A 17,750-nucleotide genomic window follows, 5' to 3' on the forward strand; every position below is an offset into this window, starting at 1 on the left:
AGAAGAAATATGTCTCCTAAAACTGATAGCAGGAAGAGAGAAAAGCCCTGCTTGTTTTTGTAAGGAATCCAGAGTCATCCCTCAAAACCCAAATTAACAATTTAGATGCTCAATGAAAAGAAAGCTTTAATTAAATGATAATGTTTAATTAAGCAATAAAGTAAGCATTTTTTAAACTAAATTCTAAAAAGGTAACAAGATACATAGGCCACAAATTACAAGGCATTCATGTCATTATTTTGAATAATTTTTGTTCAATACTGCAATATACTGGGTCATGTTTAAAACACATTCAGAAAAGTCTAAAGAGGGTTTGTTTTCTTCAAATAGCAATTGCTGTCCTCAGAAACCCTGCTGACTAACAGTATGTGTTAGATAGAGGGAGAGTAAATAGGTCCCAATTTGTACTAAATTGACTTTCTTCAGAAACACAGGAAAGTAGAATGACTCCTGACACATACTAAATTAGCAGAATCAGAGTTAGGAAACATGGGAGTAGTAGCAGGCAGAAGCGGTGCAAACCCACAAATCTATCACATGCCAAGTTAACCCTGTCTGGGACTCTAGGTTTCTCTACTGGGAATGTGGGGGACTGGAGGTGTCTAAAAGAACAAAGGGGCAAGTTCCTGCCTTTATCCTTACTCCTGTGTTATATCAACACACATGCAGGAAATAATCACTTAGCTGTAGGCTGAAGACATACCACATATGAAGCTAGATATGAATTCCTTGACCAAACACACTAGGGATTTGGGACTTAAAACGCACTGAAGGGGCGGTAATAGTAAAATTGTTGAACTTCAACAACTATTGTAAATATCAAAAGCAGGTTAAGGCAAGGTCAGAAAAAAAGCAGTGACAGATTAAAATAGGGACTGTTTCTCCCTTAGTCACAGACTGTAAAGGAAAGGCTAAAAAACAATGCTATATGAAGCCTGTAGGATGCCAAATATAATGAAAATCATGATTGTTTGGGATACAGAAAGCTATCAGCTCATAATATAATAATGACCGTTACTTAAAATATACTAGACAAAGGCTTATAAGACTCCAATATATTATAGACACTGCCTTAATGACTAAACATAACTCAGCTTACTCATCTGACAAAAATTGAGCAATAAAGAATTAGTTCTTTGTACACAACTCTGAGAGAATATTTTCATATAGACCAAAGCCCTATAGTGAATGAAAAGTTCCATTTTCAAATAATATAAATATCTAATTTATACTTAGCTTTCTCCCCAGACCCTTGCCAAATTAAATGGTTATTCATATACAATCAAGATTCTAAGGGCTCAATTAATGTAGTTATTAATAAGAAGTCTACTTTACAAGGCACTTTAAGGAACGTCTTCATATTCCACTGTCTAGGAAAAACAAAGAATGTAAGTTCAACAAGGACCAAAAAAAAAAAAAAAAAAAGAAGAAGAAGAAATATCATTAAGTTTATAGAGTAAGTTTAAGCGATATGAAATTATAAAGAGACAAAGATGTACTATTATAATGTTGATTCTTATTGGGCATGAATTGTTCTTTTTAAGCAGTGATCACTTATCACAAAGACATTTGTCTTAAAATATATTATATTTTAAGACAGATGGGTTCACTTACCTGGATTTTTTTTATCCTTAACCATTGCAAAAGGAAGATGTTCATATGACACTGGTAACATGAATAATGCTCTATTACACTTAATATGTCCTTTAGAGCAGTCAGACATACAAAAGAGCACTCACATGTAGTACCTGTAGTTATGGCCATTCTGAAGGTGTATAATGGGCTCATAGCATCGCTGTTTTCAGTAAGTGCCATTATTCATGATTATGAAGCCAGGTACTTGCAATACATATGAGAAGAAATTCTCCAGTATTCTATGCAAAACATTTGTATTACGAAATATATTAATTCTAACATATATTAATGTACTACTACATTCATGCACAGAAGAAAAAAGAGACTGCTTAAATGCCTACATTATACCACCCCAAAATATGTTAAAGCTTTCCTGCTGACAAGCTAACCATATGTAGCCAGCATAGAGTAATTAATTCTCCTAGAAAAATATAACCTAGATTTGTATGAATAATGAGTGTATCTGGCACTAGGGACAGGTACCTTGAAAAGATAGAGTAAGTCTATGATGTAATGCAGAACAAAGTGCTACAAGTTCATGAAAATCCCTGACAAGGCAAAGTCAGGAAATGTAACCTAAAAACAAAGCTTTGAACAACACTTAAAAAAAAAATTAGATGTCCTTTTCCTATTGTTCTTTCTTCCAAGTTTAGATAAATCAGTATTTGACTATTATTGAGTAAATGTGTTTTAATAAATAAAATTATTGAGTGGGAAAAGAACTTGAAAGGTCACCTGGAGAAGGTGCCTGTCTTTAGTTCACTATTTAGTCATATGATGACCCCTAGGCCAAATGGTTGCCCTTTTTATTTAACAACAAAATATCATTTAAGGTTAATGTTCCAAGATCTAAATCATGGAATCTATGATAATAACAGAAGGGTTACTTTTCTTTTTTTGAGGCAGAGTCTCACTCTGTCACCCAGGCTGGAGTGCAGTGGCACAATCTCAGCTCACTGCAACCTCTACCTCCTGGGTTCAAGCAATTCTCCTGCCTCGGCCTCTTGAGTGGCTGGGATTACAGCCATGAGCCACCACGCCCGGCTAATTTTTTGTATTTTTAGTAGAGACAGTGTTTCACCATGTTGTTCAGGCTGGTCTCTAACTTCTGACCTCAAGTGATCCACCCACTTGGGCTTCCCAAAGTGCTGGGATTACAAGCATGAGCCACTGCGCCCAGCCCTTTTCCTCATTATTTGAATCAAACTTTATTTCTTCAGGTGGAATCAAATAAAAAGGGTTAAGAAGGGGGAAAATATATGTATATGTAAAAAGCCCGACCAATGTTTCCGCATCCTCACCACTTCTCATATTCTATCAACACTGGGGATTTGCATTCTGTTTTCCTGCTAAGAAAACTAAACTTCTGACTTGTCTAAGACTAAGTGGAAGGCAGAAATGAACTATGGTGCTCAAATAATACTCTGAATGGCAACAGAAAGTCATTTTTAAAAATGAGAAAAAGGAAAGGGTAAATGAACAATAAACATAAAATGTAAGCTAGTTAATAATTAGAATGCTAGAAGAAATTAGAATTTCATTTTTACAGTTATCCTTTAAATCTATTGTTACAAAGTCTTGGCAATATAAATTCACGAAACCCAAATCTGACAATAATGAGATGTAATCTGAAGATCAATCCAAAAAAGGAAAAATACATTGATTTCACTCCTGTTTTTCCTGAAGGCAGGGAGCAGTACTCCTGTAACCCCCCCACACACAGATGTCATATGTCAGAATGAAGAGATGTTAAAAGCAGTGACTGGTAAAAATCAAGAAGCAATATCCAGAACCCTAAGGGTAATTTTATTTCAAAATTTTGTTTGTTGGCAATATATGTTGTTAGAGAGGGAACAACGTAAAAAGACCTTTAGAAAAATCAATGAACTAACAAGTATTGACTGGGCCCCATTCAGTGCTGTGAGGGGCACAGGAGCCATAGCAGCTGCCCCTGTAGCCCTTATCGTTGAATTCTTTCTGCCTGTCTTAAGGAGTATAAAGTCAGAAAGGTCCCCAGGAAGATGTAATCTCTCAAAATCTCATTATGGTTCTATTTTTCACATATAATTTTATCCATTATTCTATAAGGAAAAAAATCATTTTTTACATCAACTTTGTTTAACACCATATCTACTTCTCTTTATACATTTTCTTTTATAAATACAGGTTGTCAGATGTTTTTTTCCCCCGTCCTACTATGCAGACTTAACATGGCACACCTCAGAAGGATTTATTTTTTATTCTTTTTTATTCTTCCCTGAAGTTATTATGAAACTTCACTGTTCACTTAACTCTCTAACAGTATAGTAACCTGCTGACTGGGAAGTTACTGGCCTCGGTCTTAATTTATAATACTCTAAAAGCATTAGTTCATCTACTTTGTAGATATCACATTATAAGAAATAACAGAAAAGCATTTCAGGAAGGTGAAATGACTCTTTCAAGTCACCTGGCTAGTAGGACCCAGGCCTAGAGCTAACTTGCTGCTAATCAACTGTCCTTACCACTCAGAGCATCGCAATGTGGAAATTAAGAACCACAATTTACAAACCATCTGGAACTCAAGCTTCCTCTGCTATGTTTTCTAGTAGGTAAGAATGAACTTTAATTTCTTCACAGTAGTTATCAAGTAACACCCTGCAATGAGCTCTGCCTGCCACCTGTACTATCTCAATATTTCTTACCTTCCTCCTTAATATACCCAACTACCTCCTATTGTGCTGAATCTTTAATACTTTTTCAGATCTACTTTTGTTGTCTCTCCACATCAGGGATCCCACACCAGTAACTGTTAGAAAACAGGCTGCATAGTAGGAGGTGAGCAGCGGGCCTGAGCGAGCAGGTGAAGCTTCATCTGTATTTATAGCTGCTCCCTATTGCTTGCATTACCACCTGAGCTTGACCTCCTGTGAGATCAGTAGTGACATTAGATTCTCATAGGAGCGAGAACCCTGTTGTGAACTATGCACGCAAAAGATCTAGGTTGCATGCTCCTTATGAGAATCTAATGCCTGGATGATCTGTCGCTGTCTCCTATCACCCTCAGATGGGTCCATTTAGTTGCAGGAAAACAAGCTCAGGGCTCCCACTGATTCTACATTATGGTGAGTTGTATAATTATTTCATTATATAGTACAATGTAATAATAGAAATAAATGCACAATAAATGTAATATGGTTGAATCATCCCAAAACCATCCCCCTGCCATCTATGAAAAAAGTGTCTTCCATGAAACCATTCACTGGTGCTAAAAAGGTTGAGGACTGCTGCTCCACACTACACTCTCCACTCATACTCTCCTATTAGCTAATTCTTCAGTTCTCTATGGGAGAGGTATGATAAGCAAGAAGAATGTGAAAAAACAAATGCAGTTTTATGAAAGACAAGAGAAAATACTTTGAGAAAGTAATGTGATCTAATACATCACAGAATTAAGACACTAGAGAAAAAATTTTTGAGCTTGATTTTTCTAATGATATAAAAAATATCTTTCATTGTTAACAGACCAATATGTTCATGATCTCCAGAATTCTCAGAAAAAAACACAAGTTCATTTCACTTGGAGAAAGGCTTCAAAAAAAAAAAAAAAGCTATTCAAGTGACTTATGCCTGAGGTAATACTCAGAATATCAAAACTGTTTTTAAAATAAATGTACTCTTACGATATTAAAGCTGCTATGCTAAAGTTATTTAAGAAAACTATACAAAAACAAAGTACATATGGTATAATTTTTACATATTTCATAGGAGAAAGGTAAAGCCAAGGCTTGTACAAAAATATTAAAAGGCTAAAATGTATATTCCTCCACTTAGTCAAGAAATAAACAATTGGCTATAGACATTAGAGACTGCTGCACCTTTGTTTATAAATCCTTATCAATTCTGGATCACTAAGGATTTCACAGGAGGTCCAAATGAGTTCTGAAGATACTCAGGATCATCAAGTGGTAAAGCTATGATTGGTAAAGCTAAAGAACAAAGAGACTTCCTATTTAATTTGGCAGTCTCAGCACACAGTCTTAACACATAAGTTTCATATCTCTTGAATTAAAAAGCTGGCATAAACCCCAGAATCATATTAGTGTCTTAAATTCATTCATGCCCGCTTCCAGACAATCCCCATCCCATCGTAGAAAACCAGTGTTTTGATTTCAATCACTATAGCTTAGTTTTGCCTGTTCTTGAAATTTATATTAATGAAACTATACGGTAAACAGTTTATATAGCTGGCTTCTTTCACTAAAAAAAAAAAAAAAAAAAAAAGACTGAGATTTATACACACGTTGTATAATTCAGTACTTTGTTCCTTTTTATTAATAGATTTCCATGCAAGAATATACCAAAATTTGTGTATCTACTTTCCTGCTGATGGACTTTCCCCCCAACCCACCCCAGTTTGGAGCTATGTAGTGAGTTGAATTGAACAGAGACCCACAAAAGGTATGTCTAAATCCTAACCTCTGCTACCTTGAATGTGATCATATTTGGAAACAGTTTTAGCATACGTAATTAAATTAAGAATCTCAAGATGAAATCATCCTGGATTTAGGGTGAGCCCTAGACTGGAGTGATACATCTACCCAGAAACGCCAAGGATCGTGAGTAGATTAATGAAGCTAGCAGAGTGGTATGGATCAGATTCTCACTCAGAGACTCTGGAAGAAAGGAACCCTACCAATGCCTTCATTTATGACTTCTGGACCCCAGAAATGTGATAGCATAAATCTCTGTTGTTTTAAGCCACCAAGATCGTAGACATTTGTGGCGGCAACCCTAAGAAACTAATACAGGCTATTTTAATACTTTCGTATGAGTGTTTTCATTTCTATTAAATTAGTAAAAAATATAGTACAAATGTATACCTAACCTAAAACATTGCCAAAGTGTTTTTGCAAAGTAGGTTATATGATTTTATATTCCTTTTACCAACTTATGTTTTATTCTAGTTATCTTTTATCTTTTCATGTTTAGGTCCGTACTCCATTCCTCTAATTATTCAGTAAGGTGTGATGCAGGAGTTGAGATTCATTTTAGTCCCTAAGATGTATAGACTTTACAAAACTATTTGATACAAAGAACATCATTGAATATCAAATGATGGTATTTTTGTGGGTCTATTTCTAACCTTCTAGAAAGCTTAGTTGTATATCCTTAAGCCAAAACTTTTGCCTTGATGTTAAATCAGTAGTTTAGGTCCACCAAGTTTGTTGTTCTTTAAAATTGGTTTTCTATATTCTATGTCCTTTGCATACCATATGAATTTTAGAAATCATTTGTCAATTTCTATAATAAAACCTGCTGAGATTTTGATTGGGAATGTGTGAAATTCCTAGGTCATGTGAGGGAGAAATGAAATCTTAACAATACCAACTCTTCCAGTCTATAAGCATAATAAATACCATTTCTTTACAACTTCTTTCATTTCTCTCAGCAATATCTTACAGTTTTCAGTAGAAAATCTGCACATATTTAGTGAAATGTATCCCAAAGTATTTTTAGTTTTTTTTATGACATTGTAAATAATACTATTTTAATTACATTTAAATTTTTGCTGTTTGTAGAAAAAAATAACTATTTTTGGTACACTGACTGTATTCTATGACCTTTTTCAATTCACATAGACAATTAGGTCAGCTGAAAAAAAGAAAAAGATGGTATACTTTCTTTCCTCTAATGTATTCATCTTTTATGTTTTCTTGTTACACAGACTAGTACATTATAATGCTGAAAGGAAGTAATGCAAATAGACACCTTTACCAGGTTCTCAACCATAAAAGACAAGTCATCTAATCATTCACCCTTAAGTTGAGTATAACTCCAGGTTTCTCATGGATGTCCTTTATCAAAATGAGGAAGTTTCCTTCTATTTCTAGTTTGTTGAGTTTTTTCATAAAAAATGACTGAATTCTGTCAAATGCGTCTTATTTCGCATGTATTTAGGTAATTATGATTTTTCTCATAATTACCTTGTATTTTTTTATCTGATAATATGGCTAACTAATTAATTTTGAAATGTAAAACCAACCCTGCATTCCTGGGATCAATTCCATGTGGTCATAACATACTCTCCTTATTAAGTTCAGCAATATTTGATGCAAAAATATTTTGTTGACAACTTTTGCATCTATGTTCATATATGATATTAGTTTCTAGTTTTGCTGTAGTAGATTCCCTTCTTTGATTCCTGATACCAGTAGTTTGAGAATTTGGTTGTCTTTTTCAGCGCTTCATTTTCATTTGGCTCAAAATAATTCCTTCTTTGGCCCACCGGTAATTTTAAATTAGGTTATGCAATTTTTAGACTGTGGTAGATGTTCTATTATTGTTGTTGTCTAACTTAATTCTGTTATAGACAGAAAACATACCCTGCAAGATATCTATATTTTGAAAATTACTGAGGCTTATTTTATATTCCCATATGGTCTACCTTGGTAAACATTTGATATGCGTTTAAAAATAATGTGTATTTTGCAGTTGTTGTAGATAGTGTTCTATAAATATCAGAACAAGTTGGATGATAGAAGTATCTTGATTTTCTAAGAATTTACTGATTTTTTTTGTACACTTTTTCTAGAATTTATTCAAAGAGGAGTGTTAAAGTCTCATTATGATTGAGAATTTGTATATTTTTCCATTTTTTTCTGCCAGGTTTTGCTTCATAAATTTTGATGCTCAATTTTTAGGCATACATATTTAAAATGATTATCTCTTCCTGGCAAGTTATTATTTTTGTTATTGTATACTGATACTTCATTTCTTATAATATAGTTTGCCTTGAAAGATACCTTCTTGGAAATACACATACCCATGATATTTTTCATGTGCTATTTTATTACTATTTGTTTTCCATATGTCCTTTCTGCCTTTTTCCCCACTGCTATGTTTGAGTGTTTGTGTCCCACCAAACATAAATGTTGAGAACTTACTCACCAGTGTGATAGGATTATGACATGGGGCCTTTGGGGGTGATTGGATCATGAGGGCAGAGTCCTCATGAATGGGATTAGCACCCTCATAAAAGAGGGTCCAGAGAGCTGCCTTGTCCCTCCACCATCTCAGAACACAGATAGAAGGCAACATATATGAATCAGAAATAAGTGGGCCCTCACCAGAAATGGAGTCGGCCAGCACCCTGATCATGGAAGTCCCGGCTTCCAGAACTGTGAAAAATAAATTTCAGTTGTTTATAATCCATTCAGTTTACAGTATTTTGTTACAGCAGCCAAAATAGACCAAGACAACCTCTTTTATCCCTTTTCTGCTTTGTGTTAGTCAAGCAATTTTTAGTATTCTATTTCGTCTACTGGCTTAACTATGCCTCTTTTTATATTTTCTCTGGTTTGTCTAGGATTAATACATCTTAATGTATCAATCTAATTGGAATTATAAACCCTGTTACGCAATGTTTTTTATTACAAATTTTCTTTCAAAAAATCATAAGAAAAAAGGTTTTATTTACTATTTCAGGTACTCTTCATTACTTTTTGTAGATCTGAGTTTCCATCTGGCATATTTCCCTTTTGCCTGAAGGACAACTTTTAGCATTTCTTGTAGGGTAGGAATTACTGTCACAAACTCTTTCAGCTTTTATAATACTAAAAATGTCTTCATGTCACCTTATTTTTTTTTAAGACATCCATTAGATAGAGAATTCTGAGTTTACAGGGTATTTTTTTAACACCTTTCTGTTGAGCTTCTTGCATTTTAAACTCTTCTGTTGACTTCTGCTGTCTATTACTTCTATGAAGCCAGCAAAATCTTTTATCTTTGTTTTCCTACATGTACTGTGCCTTTTATCTTTTTCCTCCCCTCAAGATACTTTTATCATTTTCTCTTTTTCTTTGGTTTTCCACAGTTTTACTAGGCTGTGCCATGATATCTTTTTCTCTTTATATTTTTCCTAGTTGGGATCTGCTGAGCCTCTTAAACCCTAAGTTTATGTTTTTCACTGAATGAGACTTTTTTGTCCATTATTTCTTCAAATATTTTGTCAGCCACAATCTTACTCTCTTATCCTTTGGGGACTCCAGTTACAGGTATTTTAGACTGAATGATATCTACCCAATAATACCTGCTGTTTATTACTTTATTCAGTCTTTCTTCCTACATAACTAAGAGAAAATAATCACTATAAAACTGCCTTCGAATTTCACTGACTCCTCTGCCATCTCCAATATACTATTAAACCCACATACTAAAATTTTTAATTTAGTTATTGAACTTTTCAATAATTTCTATATAGCAATTTTTTTTATAGTTTTCATTTCCCTGCAAATATTCCTTAATTATGACCATGTTTTTCTTTAATTCTTTGAAGATCATTTGCTTTAGTTCTTTGAACATATTTGTAGTATCCTTATTTTGTCTTTGCAAGTGAAATCCAAAACCTGGGCCATTTTGGACTTCTTTTTTTCTTGATAATACATCCCATTTTATTATTCTTTAATTTTTAATTCAATATTGCATTCAATATTGAATACTTACTTACATATAACCACTCTCAGTTCTGTAATATCCCATTGAAAACTATTTGTTCTTATTTGAGCAGTCAAATCAATCACTGGGTGATCATCTTAAGTTGTATAGTTCACTATAAACTTTGTTAGTGTAGCTCTCTGGAAAGTAAGATTTGTTTTCTTAGACCCTCTAACTTAGTGAAACTCAATCTCCAACCTGTTTTCCCTGGGGAGTTCATCAAGACGTGCTATAGGTTTTATTAGGGTGGGTCTAGACTAGGTCTTTAGGGTGTGGCCCTACTTCCTAAAGCACCAGCTTTTCCTTATTTGATTGAATGTCAAATATGCTAATGAAGTGTTAAGATGATCTCTGTAATTTGGCAGAGCCAGAAGTACAAAGCTGAACCTCTAGTATCTCTGTTCCACTCTCACCCTGTAGCAGCTGCTATCTGGCTAGTCTTGCTCAGTGTATGAACACTCCAGCTCCCAGGCACAGACACAAGGGAGATACCCACGTGGACTACTGGAGTTCCTTTCTGCACAATTCCTTCCCCATTAGTGCTCTGCCCTGTAGATACCAGCTGTTTCACTGCCATAAATTCTGATCTTTGCCTCCTCAGCTCAGAGAACTATATTCTCTGCTAGAACTCAAATCTCTGTAATTTAAGTGGAAAACTGTCACCAAGCCAAAGGCTGAGTATTCATGAAACTTTTAAGTTTCTGTTCTCTCAAGAACTGCAGCTTTTCTCTACTGGCTGCTCACTGTCTGAAAACAGTTGACCTGGATATTTTGTCCAGTTTTATCACCGTTAGCAGTTTATATATGTTTTGTTATATGTATTCCTAAGCATTTTTTAAGTTTTCTGATGTTGATGTCAACGTAATTTTTACAACTTTTTACTATAATTTCCGTTTTTAAAATACAAAAAAAAAAATCCTGTACCCAAATTAAACATGCTGTCCACATACTGCTTCACTTAATTCATCATATTCTTTCTCTCTTCTTCTCCACATATATACATATATGTATGTATATATGTATGTATGTATAAGGTGCTCTCCACAAGTTTTTCCAATGTTAAATTACTGTTTCTTTCCTTTATAATTAATAGTTTATGGGGAGCTGTTTCGAGGCTATGTAAATAGTATGTATATAACCTATTTTCACCAAATTTTCACATTTGTATCAACAGAGATAGCACACTAACTAGAAAAATACAGAATCTACTCAACTTTATTAAAACTGAACTTTACGGACCCTTTCAGAAACAGCAGTACCTTCAAGAGCATGACATAAAAGTGCAAATGAACCAGAATATATCTACAATAATTTCACTTTAAGCCACAACTGCAACAAAATTGTCTAACTTCAGTGATTTAGTTCCATAAGTCCAGCCTCCTCTTTTCCATTATGTTTCCAAAATAGTCTTACAAGAGTATAGGTAAAGCAAATCTCAAACCTCATAATGAGATTTGAAGAGTACAGAAAAATGATTCCTAGGCACTAGATGAAAGTCAGATCTAAAAGCAACCTTAAAACAATGTTGTTTGCAAAGTGATGAATCACAAGAGACCTTTTTGCTTATAACTACAAAATGCTTTAGGCTGTATTTCAAATGAATGATGCATGGCTGGTAATTAGTATGTGACTATAATGATGTTTTGTTTTGTTTTTCCAAATGAAAGAAATTAAGCAGATTGTGCCATAAAATTTCAACACTACATAGATGGTCTAACTAGAAAGCATCATGTTTCCATACCAAAAAAACCCCAAAAATTATCATCAAAAAAAAAAAACAATCTACAATTCTATGATAAAATAAAATGCCCCCACTTTTTAGCAGGAATTTAGTGGGGAAGTGGGGATTTTAGATTTTAAATCCCATATAAGAAAAAGCAGAAACTAAGAAAATTTTGAAAAACGTACTTTGAATTAGCCATCAATTCAAGTTCCTGCTTAAATATTCTAGGTAATTTTTTACCTCGAAGTTAATCTTCAGCTATTAAAAATAAATTGCAGAAGCATTTAAACAGGGAAACCACTGCTAAAAGCAACTTTAAGTACAGTAGGTACCTATAGCAAACAGAAACACAAGAGTGATTGCCACCATAAGAAATGAAGTATGGCCTTAGTGTCAAAAAAGCATGGTTCATAGCTGAGCTGTAATAGTTACCGGTTGAGTAAACAGGTCAAAAAGTTGCCTAATCTATGTGATGGTAATGCCTATTTCTGCAGTTATATGAAAATGAGACTTAACTTTACTCATTCATTGTGTATCAAATATTTATTGAACCCTTATTTATGTGTCAAACACTGATTTAGGACCTGAAGATTCATATTAAACAAACAAACAAACAAGCAACAACAACAACAACAAAACAAGAACCTGGTGCACATGGAATATACCATAAGTAAGCAGAGGGAGAAGGGGAGAAAAAGAGATAGAAAAACAACAAACAAATCAGATCATTTTAAACAAAAATAAACGCTATAAATAAATGAAAAAGAGGGTAACATAGATAGAGAATGATGGGGGGCAGCATCATTATAATGAAAACTTCTATAAGGAAGTGGCATTTGGGCCCAAGAGGAAACAGCAAGAGGAAAACCTAAAATGAGAACAAGAAAATGTATATAGCTCAAACAGTGGAAAAGGACAAGGGTAGTAAAAGTTGGGATTAAAGAAACAGAGACTACATTATCTTATAAATTATCATGAAACTGGAAACCATTAGAAGGGTCAAAGAAAAAACTGAAAGAATTCATTGGCACTAAAAGAAATGTTAAAAGCATTTCTTCAGGAAGAAAGGAAGTGATTTCAGATAGAAGTCTAGATTTATAAAATGATGTGAATAACACTGGAAATGGTATATAGGTAAGTAGATATAAAAGACTCTTTTTAAAAAATAAAAAGACTTAAAATTTCTTTCAAAAAGAAATACTCCAAGTCCTAAAGCACCAATAATATAGCAAAACAAAGAATAAGAGTGAATAAGTCAAAAAAGATAACACAGACTCATTAAAAATACTCAATCCAAAAGAAGGTAGAAAAAGAGTAGCAAAGAATAGATGAGATAAATAGAAAATAAATAGTAAGATGCTAGATTTAAACCCTGCCATATGAATAACCAGATTAAATTAAAATGGTCTAAACACTTCAATTAAAAGGCAGAAATGGTCAGACTGGATTAAAAAGCAAAACTCAATAGACTGCCTATAAAAACTGTAGGTTAAAAGATAAAGGATAGAAAAAGGCATAGCATGCAATCACTAATCAAAATAAAGCTGAAGTGGCTATATTAAGATAACACAAAGTAAGTTTCAGAAACCATTAGAGTATTTGAAGTTTGTGAACGACATAAAATCTCATTTAATAACAAGAGTCAGTAGCTGCTATGTGAAAATAGTATATTCAAAACATGAAGCACAGGTCCTGAAACAGTAAATAACAAATGGCAAATACAAAAATACATATGGTATGATGAACCGCCATAGCATCAGCATCTCTAACATTACATCTTTTCTCAACAATATTGTTCTAAGATTAATAACCATATTTTATTCTACTTTAAATGTGGCTTTCCATTGCCATTTCATTAACATTTATGAAACAAACACACTATAAGCATGGCAACCCCTGCCGTACTTTCAGAATTTTATTTAACAAAAGAGGGATTATGAGAATTCATTAAAATACTATAAATGTGATACTTACATTCTAGAGTCACTTGGCTAAATCCTCTGAACTTGCAAGTGGTTAATTAACTACATGTTCAAGATTGATCAGTGGACCAGGTAAAGGTCAGTTAGTCACAGAGTAAAAGGGAAAGCTGGAGCTGGGGAGGTAGGATCCAAACAAAACACAATGCAGTCAGATCCCTGAATGCAATTCCAGCCAGCTAATGGTTTTATATCTATCTTTAAAAGCAGACATAACCAGTAGACATTAAAGTTCTTGGTGGTCTTCTAGGGAGGCAGGGTCAGGGGTAGAGATACAGACAGTGTGACACAGGAAAAAGCCCTCTATGTTGCAGATTAGTTTATTCAAAAATAATGAACAAGAGAACCTTTTTCTATGATATTTGCTAACCAGCTCATATTTCGAACAATAACTCTGCCCACATACTCTTAAATGACTAATTCCTTGCCTTAAGTTTAATCTATGCGATTTTACAATTCTTGTTTTTTGCTGATGCCAGGATATTAATGACAAAAGTGTTTCTCTATATTCCAAACATAAACCCATTAAGAACGACAGCTTGCTGTGTTTCTTAGTATTGATTGTATGCAATTTTTATTCTTTGTTTCTACGTTAGGACAAGTAAAATTCATTCAGGGACTTCTAAAAATAAATTGGTAGCCTTTCAATAATTCATCTGGTATTTGGGTTATGCTTTATTTCAAGCCATTGATTTGGTGGGTGCATTTTGGGAGCATTCAGATCAAATCACTGTGATACATTTTTTTTCAGGCAACTCCTCTGCCCTTCAGTAATAAAGTATACCCGTTGCTATTGTCTGAGGATATCAGAAGGGCCAGGTCTGTGATCTGCAATTTAAGCAGAATGGGAGATACTAAAATGTGGGAAGACAAAGGAAAACCTACTGAAGATGGGACATCAGGTGGCATTCAGGTAACGGACATAATAAAGGATGAGGCTATAATTAAGGCTCGTGGGCATAAAAAAAATAGGCAGAAACCTGCGTTTTAGGAAGTACAGGTTGAGGAAACAGTGGTCTCTAACTGCTAAGAGAGATCATTAATGAGGCCAGCAGTCAAAATCATGGATAATTCCAAAGGAAGTGGTAATAAGAATTCAGTAAGAAGTAGCTAAGACCACAGCAGACATAGTCCTTCCCAGGAGAAAAAAAAAAGAAAGAGAGAAGAAAAGGAAAGAAGTCTCCCCTGCCCCCCCACCCCTCAAAAGCACATAAATAGAATGAGAATAGAACAGACAATTGAGCAGTAAAGAAAAAGATTGTCATGAAGCTAATTGAACTAGTTTTCTCTTAATTACATTAAAAATATGAAATGTTTTTGGAAATTCTGGGTCAGAACTTAGGAAAAACAAATACAGTGTCAAGGAAACTTATAACAATATTAAGCTGCTGGAACCTTAAATCTTTTCAGAAAATACTAGCATTCAAGTGATCAGAATGATTTAGGCACTTTACTGTGGCTAGTGATTCCAAGGAGAGCTACTTAAAAAGGAAACATTGATAAAATAGGGTAGAAAGACTCCATTTGTCCAAAACATAAAACTTCAGTAATGCCACATAGCTTACCATAAGAAGATGACACATAATGCTACAACAAGGAACAAAATATTGACAGAATAAAAACTGACCTAATGACAGTTTCAGCATAAAGCCACAAACTGAGAACCCTTAAACAAATTAAAATTTATATTACTAAGTTTTGACTATTTAATGCATAAATGTAAGTCAATATACTGTAAGTGGGACAGTATAAACACAAAAAAAGGAATTTCCTAACATATAACAATTTGAACAAATTCCTAGATTTTCCTTGGACAAATATAGTAAATCAAATTATTTGGTAGTGGTGATGCTGGTGGCATATAAGTTAGTGCTAGTGTTTCACTAAACGGGAAAAAATCACTTTGGCTATTCGGTATCCGCTCTTCTAAATAACTGTAATATCTAGACTTGGATATAAAATTGGCATCCTTGGAAAAGAAAGAAAAATAGCAGTAATGGAAAATAGCAGACTTGCAGGATAGGAAACTTGATCCAATGTTAAAGGAAAAAAAAAAAAACAAAAAAAAAACACATTTATCTTGTGAAAAGAGCCAAGTCTGGTATGGAAGACAAGGATGTTTAATGACGCATATAATTTAATACAAAATAAAAATATAAGAAAAGCGAAAAAGGGAAGAAAAATCAACTCAGACAAAGACTATAATTAACCAAATACATATGGGGCCAAAACACTACCACCCTTTGTCTCAGGAGCCACAACGTGAATGAAGTTAAATAAAACTGTTTAAAAGTTGATTCTGAGTATCTCAGAGAAATTTTCAAGTGCTTGGCCTCAGATTGCCAGTTTCCCTGTTAAGCTGAGGACAGAAAATGGAGAAAGGCCTACTCAAGAGAAGTCAGTGGTCAGGCCACAAGAATAATGAGCCAGACGAGGTAGTCGACATTCTAGAAGTGTACACATTCACTGGGCTCTTTAAGGATGGACAGGGGAATCCTCTCCCATTTGGGTCTTTTATTTCTGAAGACAGAAAATAGGGACAAGATTGATCCTAAACAAAAACGTAAGGTAAACTCTATTTTTAAAAACCTTTCCCTTTGCATTCATTTACCTTTTTCCCACCTCCTGTGTGCATCTAATTCTTTGCCAATATATCAAGAACTCTGTGCCTAAAAACAACACAGTGTGGTGGAAACAAAATGAAATATGGAAATGTAAGTTTAGAAATCCGCAGTTTCAATCTTTCTCTTTTGCTTATGGCATGTGGAGGAGGTCTTGGTTAAGTAGTCTATTCTATATGAGTTTCTGTTCTTATAACCCTGAGGAGCTATTATAAACAATATGTCATATACATGTATATAAACATACTTTGTGAACTGTAAGTCACTAAATAAACTTCATATAACTGCTATGTAATTACTTGTCTGCTCTATAGTGGCTCATTTGATGCGATATTATGCCATTAACCTGAAACTCCAAAATTCACCTCTCTCCCCGCTCCCTTTATCCAAACCATCATCTTTTGAGTATCACAAGTCACAGATACCATATTTTAAAAGTTAATCAGACTAAAGGAATGCAGAGTAAGATTTTAATCTCCTCTAGGTATCCTAAAGCATTATATGATTTACAAACAGAAGGCTGACCTGATGTTTTATAATATCTCAGGTAGTTACATGAACTGCAGTATTTTTGGTGGGGGAGGCGGGGGTGGAGGCAGGGGGGTCGGTCCTTGAACATACTTCCGTAACAACTATTAGGCTGTTATTATACACAACTCGTTGATTTTAATTTCAGGGGATTCCGAGAAATCCGGGATACCTAGTCAGAGAGTTAGAGGTAGAAAGCTTTTAAAGGCTCATATTTCTAGCCCCAACATGTGCAACTAATATCAGAAGAGAAGCTTATTCTAATTACTTTTTTAGTAATTTAGATTATACTCTTGAAACCCACTGTGTTGAAAAGAAAATAAATAACCCAGCACTGTGTCTCAATATGAGATCTGGAAGTCACAATAATTGATCACACTGAAATGCTCATCAGTTAGTATCTACCTTTATGTCAACCCCTATATGGCATCCCCTTTGCTACTTTTCACTGCAATCAATTGTGTCTACTTGAAAGCCAAAGTATAGAAAGTCTGGAAGGTAAAAATTGCTCAAAAAGAGTTATTAAAAAAATTATATGTGTTTTATAAAATCATTGAGAAAGAAGAGGGTATCAAAAGAAGAGAGTAGAGGAGAGCATCTGAGTAAGATTCTTATTCAAGTGTTAGAAGATATGGGAAAAGAGTCAGGGAGGAGTCAGACATTAGAAGCACAAGGGAGCCAGGAAAGAGAACAAAAAGTAGATATAATTAATAGGGTGAAATGCTGACCAGAGGTCAAGACCACACAAAATGAGAAATGAAAGGACCTAAGCTGAATCTGGAATTATGA

At 34.2% G+C, this 17,750-nt stretch overlaps 1 protein-coding gene across 15 annotated transcripts in view; it reads right to left on the bottom strand.

The window, feature by feature from the left end:
* Positions 1-17,750, bottom strand: part of DIAPH3 (diaphanous related formin 3) — a 498,346-nt gene that overhangs the window by 213,990 nt on the left and 266,606 nt on the right. The gene's annotated exons all lie outside the window — the stretch shown is intronic.

Source organism: Homo sapiens, chromosome 13, assembly GCF_000001405.40.
Source record: "Homo sapiens chromosome 13, GRCh38.p14 Primary Assembly".
Lineage (NCBI taxonomy): Eukaryota > Metazoa > Chordata > Mammalia > Primates > Hominidae > Homo > Homo sapiens.